The 6,084-nt window shown below is 42.1% G+C and overlaps 1 protein-coding gene across 13 annotated transcripts in view; it reads right to left on the reverse strand.

Annotated features, from left to right (window-relative positions):
• Positions 1-6,084, reverse strand: part of USP6NL (USP6 N-terminal like) — a 151,141-nt gene that overhangs the window by 30,615 nt on the left and 114,442 nt on the right. For 11 of the 13 annotated variants that reach the window (XM_024448263.2, NM_001391960.1, NM_001391961.1 and 8 more), the window contains one exon: positions 1,995-2,104. In XM_024448263.2, the coding sequence (XP_024304031.1) occupies positions 1,995-2,104 (110 nt within the window). Of the gene's footprint in view, positions 1-1,994; positions 2,105-3,243; positions 3,636-3,927; positions 4,017-6,084 lie in introns of those variants that run through there. The other 2 variants (XM_047426038.1, XM_011519763.3) reach the window with 2 other exon arrangements.

Raw genomic sequence — 6,084 nt, forward strand, 5'->3', positions numbered from 1 at the left:
TTTGTTGCCTTCTTTTGCTGATCTATCTCACTTTGAGACCCTTCTGATAGAAGCAGCTGGCTTGACAGAATGGTGGAATGGCCTTTTGAAGGCTCAGTGACATTGCCAGCAAGGTACAATACCCTGCAGGGAAAGGGTGATGTCCTTGGGATGCTGAATATGCTCCATATCAGGCTCCAATTCAAGGTGCTGTTTTTCCCATAGCCAGGATTCAAGGATCCAAGATTCAAAGGCTGCAAGTAGGAGTGGCTCCACTCATCATTCTCTCTAGAGATCCACTAGCAAAGCGTTTGCTTCTTGGCCCTGCAAGCTTGGGTTCTGCTGGTCGAGAGATCTTAGTTCCAAAAGGAGGAATGCTTCCACCATGAGACATAACAGTGATTCCACTGACCTGGAAGCTGAAACTGCCACCCAACCACTTTGGGCTCCTTATGCCTCTGAACCAACAGGCAAAGAAGGACGTGGCTGTGTGGGCTGGGGGGATTATCCTGATTACTAAGGGGAACATGGGTTGCTATGACACAACAGACACAAGGAGGAGTACATCTGGAATGCAGGAGAACACTTGGGGCATCTCTTACTAGTATCACTGAGCCCTGTGATGAAAGTCAATGGAAAACTACCAATTCAGGCAGAACTGCTAGGTTCAGATTTTCAGGAAGAAAGGTTTGAGTTATCCCTCTAGGTAAAGAACCACAACCATCTGAGTGCTTGCTGAGGGCAAAGGGAATATGGAATGGGCAGTGAAACGTGGCATTATAAACACCACCTGTGACCACATGACCAGTCACAGAAGGGATTGCTGCAATTATTATGAGTATTTCTTCCTTATTTTTTTGTAAATGTGCTTGTATATATACCAACAAATATTTTCTTCTTCCCTCTCTTTTACCTTATCATCTAACATAAGGTATCTTAATAACAGTCAGCTTTATACCACAGTGTGTAAGTTACAGGATACTAAAGCAGAAGTGTGATCATCTCCCAAAGACTTGGCATCCTCACGTGGGGAAAGAATTAGCACATTTCAGCTGTGAGCAGAATAATGGTATCATGTTAGATGGAAGGATGACTTGGTTACTATCTTACTTGGAAATTGTTTAAGGTGGTGTGTGTGAGTGCCAAGTTGACAAGGCTGGACTGCAGTGGTTGGCTTTGGGTGTCAACTTGGCTAAACAACAATCCCCAGATATACAAAACACTGATCTAGGTGTCACTGGGAACGTATTTTGTAGACTGATAAAAATCCATAATCTGTTAACTTTAAGTAGGAGAGATTATCCTAGAAGACCTGGGCAGGCCTCATTCAATCTGTTGAAAGGCCTTAAGGGCAGATTTGAGGTTTCCCTGAAGAAGAAACTCTGCCTGTGGCCAGCAGCTTCAGCTCATCCCCGAGGCCCAGACTGTCCTTTCCCATGGCCTGCCCTGTGGATTTTGGCCTTGCCTAATCAGCCCCGACAGCTGGAGAAGCCAATACCTTGAAATGTCCTAACATATATCTCCTATTGGTTTCTGTTTCCTGATTAGACTCTCTGACTGATACAGAGATCAGCAAAACTGTACTTTTCATTTATAAGTTGTCATAGCAATGATGTATCAATTCATTAATTTCTCATTTCATGTCCCTTTTTTAAAAAAAGTTTCATTTATGCATGGGGGTCAAGGTTATAGAGATACATTGATCACTGACAAAGTTTTTACACACACTGTCATTCTTCTATGACTTCTAATAAAAGTATCTACTACATTTCTAAGAATCCCCAGATTATAAAATGAGTCTTTACCAATTTTATAGCACGTGCTATATCAAAGGTTAAAAAATTTAAGTTAAATTAGATCTTAAGTTTCACACAACATGGACGCAAATGATCTGCAAAAGCTTAAACCTTTAGGACCTAAATCGAAATTACAGTCTATAAAGGCATTCTAATTTTAAGTTAATAAAGACTATTTATAAATGCGATTAACATTTCATAATATTAAACTTTACTCACTTAACACCATATCTGTCTCTAAACATAATGTGGTCCCGAAATGTGCGGTTGACATCCAGGTCTATTTGTCTGATGTCAGGTGAACAGCCCCGTGCTCTGTGTTTTAATTTCTGAAGAGAGAAAGAGAGAACAGAACAGATTTTTATGGAAATTAGTTGTTGAAAACTCTATGACAAATAATAATTCTCATTAAAAAGTTTTTGGTTTAAAAAAATCACTCAATGGTTAAAAAAAATCAAAACTATATATACAAAAAGGTACACAATAGAAACTTTCCCTCCCCTCCATTCCCCCATTTCTCCTACTGCCTGCTTCTCCCTCTTCCCCTACCTTCCTTCTCTTCCATCCTGTCTATCTAGTTAATTTTAATTTAGGATAGAGAACTTTTCAGAGTTGGCACTGCTGAACTATGTGAAAGTTCTTCATGGCTGAGCCATGCAGTCTGTTATGATTTCTTGTTTCTTTCCAGGATGATGCTTTTGTTTTCCTTGAAGCTAATCATTGCCTTGTTTCTCAATTTGCTTTGTTTCCCACCTAATTCAATCCTAAGCTCCACTATAAATGGTATAATCTCCTCAGGTGATGTTCCAGTAGAGTAGGTGTTCCACCAGCTTCATCTTGCTGTCTGCTGCTCCTGCCTGTGCGGCCGGACCTCTGGGCCTGTTCCTGCCTGTGCGGCCGGACCTCTGGGCCTGCTCCTGCCTGTACGGCCTGATCTCTGGGCCTTCTCCTGCCTGTGCAGCCTGACCTCTGGGCCTGCTCCTGCCTGTGCGGCCTGACCTCTGGGCCTGCTGCACAGCTCAGGTCTTGGAGCCTCCCTTCTCCACCTGCTGGGGTGGTTTTCTCCCATGCTGGGCCCCCTGTTTCCTGGTCTCCTATCTTTTTTCTCAGGTTCTTCCCTTGCTCTGCAGGAACACACCCTTTAGTAGCTCCTGTGAAAGGCTATATGGAAGATAAAATTTTTGAAACTTTGAATATCTGATCATTCTACCCTCTTATTTAACTATTTGGCTGTTTTAGAATTCTAAGTTGGAAAATATTTTTGCTCAAAAGGCACAGCTTCACCGTCTTCTGGCTTCCAGTGTTGCTATTCTGTTTCTTTATGTGCAATCTGCGTTTTCTCTCTAGAAGCTTGTAGGAGTTTCTCTCTCCATGTATTGAAACTTCACATTTCAGTACTGGGTTTGGATCTATTTTTATCCACAGGGTTGGGTACTTAGTGAATCCTTCCAATCTTAAAAACTCCTACCCAAATCTTTCAGCTCTCAGACATCTTCAACAATTCATTTGTCAACTTCTTCATCTTCCCTTCCTGTAGGGTCCAGCCCCATAGGGTCGGTGAGTTTCTCCCCGTGTGTGGCGACGAGAGAGTGCAGAAATAAAGACACAAGACAAAGAGATAAAAGAAAAGACAGCTGGGCCCAGGGGACCACTACTACCAATGCGCGGAGCCCAGTAGTGGCCCCGAATGTCTGGCTGCACTGTTATTTATTGGATACAAAGCAAAAGGGGCAGGGTAAAGAGTGTGAGTCATCTCCAGTGATAGGTAAGGTCATGTGGGTCACGTGTCAACTGGACAGGGGGCCCTTTCCTGCCTGGCAGCTGAGGCAGAGAGAGAGAGGGAGACAGAGAGACAGCTTACGCCATTATTTCTGCTTATTAGAGACTTTTAGTACTTTCACTAATTGACTACTGCTATCTAGAAGGCAGAGCCAGGTGTACAGGATGGAACATGAAGGCGGACTAGGAGCATGACCACCGAAGCACAGCATCACAGGGAGACGGTTAGGCCTCCGGATAACTGCAGGCGAGCCTGACTAATGTCAGGCCCTCCACAAAAGGTGGAGGAGCAGAGTCTTCTCTAAACTCCCCCGGGGAAAGGGAGACTCCCTTTCCCTCTGCTAAGTAGCCGGTGTTTTCCCTTGACACTTACGCTACTGCTAGACCTCGGTCCGCCTGGCAACGGGCGTCTTCCCAGATGCTGGCGTTACCGCTAGACCAAGGAGCCCTCTGGTGGCCCTGTCCGGGCATAACAGAAGGTTCGCACTCTTGTCTTCTGGTCACTTCTCACTGTGTCCCCTCAGCTCCTATCTCTGTATGGCCTGGTTTTTCCTAGGTTATGATTATAGAGCGAGGATTATTATAATATTGGAATATAGAGTAATTGCTACAAACTAATGATTAATGATATTCATATATAATCATATCTAAGATCTACATCTGGTATAACTATTCTTGTTTTATATTTTATTATACTGGAACAGCTCGTGTCCTCGGTCTCTTGCCTCAGCACCTGGATGGCTTGCCGCCCACACCCTCCCTCCATTCCCATTTTCTTTTTCTGAAACTCTTATTATTACAGTCTGGGAACTCCTAGGCTATCATCTAATTTTCTTGTATTTTTCTGTATTATTTTACATCTCTTTGCTTTTATAACTGACATTCTGGGAATTTCTTCAATTGTCATTTTCAATTAAGTTTTTCATTACTAATATTTGTTATATTCATAAGCTCTGTTGTTTTTGAGTGTTCCTTTTTATAGCATTCTATACTTGTTTTATGGATGCAGTATCTATTTTTCTCTGAAGATATTAAAAATAGTTTTTTAGATTCTCTTCTTTACACTATAATCTGTTTCTTACAAGCTGCTTTCTTCATTTGCTTCCACTTGTCTTTCACGTTAGCTCCCTTCTTCAAATGAACAGCAAAACTTCGTTTTCTGCTTTTGTTTAAAAGTGGGACACAAAAAAGCTGCATGCCTGGGTGAGGCTTCCTGACTGTGATCCTGCTCGTGGAGGCATGTGGCCAAGCAGTTGGACTGGGGTTCCCTGAAGTCAGTACCTTTGGGTTTATTTTCTTATGCTGATCACATCCCCCACAGAACGCTCTTCCAATCTCCTGTCAGGAAGACAAGCACCTGGCTGCTAGTGATCTGGGAGGTGAGTTGAGGAAAAAGGCTGGACTGTCCAAAATTTAAACTACTCAACTCCTCTGCTTTCATGACAGCAGCTCACCCTCAGCAAGGTCTGCGTTTTCCCTAGTCCAGAGGCCCTCTGTTTCATCCTCGCCAAATAACAAACCTCCAGTCTTGGGCTAGCACTGAGGGAGCTAAGGAGCTCTAACTGCTTCTGAAACAGACTTTCAACCACTTCTGTGTTTAGCTTCACCTCCACTTCCAGAGGTTCCTGCAGTTGGCAATTACCAAGCCTTACGGAGATTCTGAGCTACTAATCAGGTTGCTTCTCCAATTCCCACTGCCAGCCTAGGATTTAGCTTCCTCAGGTTTGCTAAGTTTACTAAATGTCTGTCTGCATTCTCATTTTCCAAAACTGGTAGCTGTTAAGCATCTCCCATTTTCTTATTTCTGTGGGTTTGCCTTTTTATAATAAAAACTCTGCTATCAATTTAGTGGCATTTCAAGGGAAAGGGAGCTAAATGAGTATGTTGAATCTCCCATGTTTAAACAGATGGGAGATTAAAATTTAACCATGTTTAATATAAATAAGAATTTATATACATATGTTATATTGACCTATTTACCATGTACTGGTAATACGGACTTCTGCTTGAATCAATTCCAATAAATATACATAAAAACATAACTGTTCCCGACTTCAGCTAAAAGTGGAAAGAAGGTTATCTGGGGATGTCTATTATAAGGCTATCTGGGCATGTCTAGAATAAGGCTATTTGGGCATGTCTAGAATAAGTATGTGTATGTTAAGTGTTTTATGAGTCTGTGTATTTTTGTGTATTGAAGGTCAGAGAAGGGGCTTCTGCAGCTTTTTAAAACAGGAAGAACAGCCACAGTATGTTTCAGAATTCTCAAGACAGAGGAAGACATTTAGAGTATTGTATTAGATTCATATGGCCACTAAAATATTATTGTATATTATTTCTGAAAAAGGTGGTTCAGAAGATATTATAAAAATTTAGCTTGAAAAATAAATCTGTACATATTTGTTCTCTTCCATCTTTTTTTTTTTTTTTTTTTTAAGATAATGGGCAAGGCCGGGCACAGTGGCTCACGCCTGTAATCCCAGCGCTTTGGAAGGGTGAGGTGGGGGGATCACAAGGTCAGGAGATGGAG

The sequence above is a fragment of the Homo sapiens genome, chromosome 10 (genome assembly GCF_000001405.40).
Source record: "Homo sapiens chromosome 10, GRCh38.p14 Primary Assembly".
Taxonomy (NCBI): domain Eukaryota; kingdom Metazoa; phylum Chordata; class Mammalia; order Primates; family Hominidae; genus Homo; species Homo sapiens.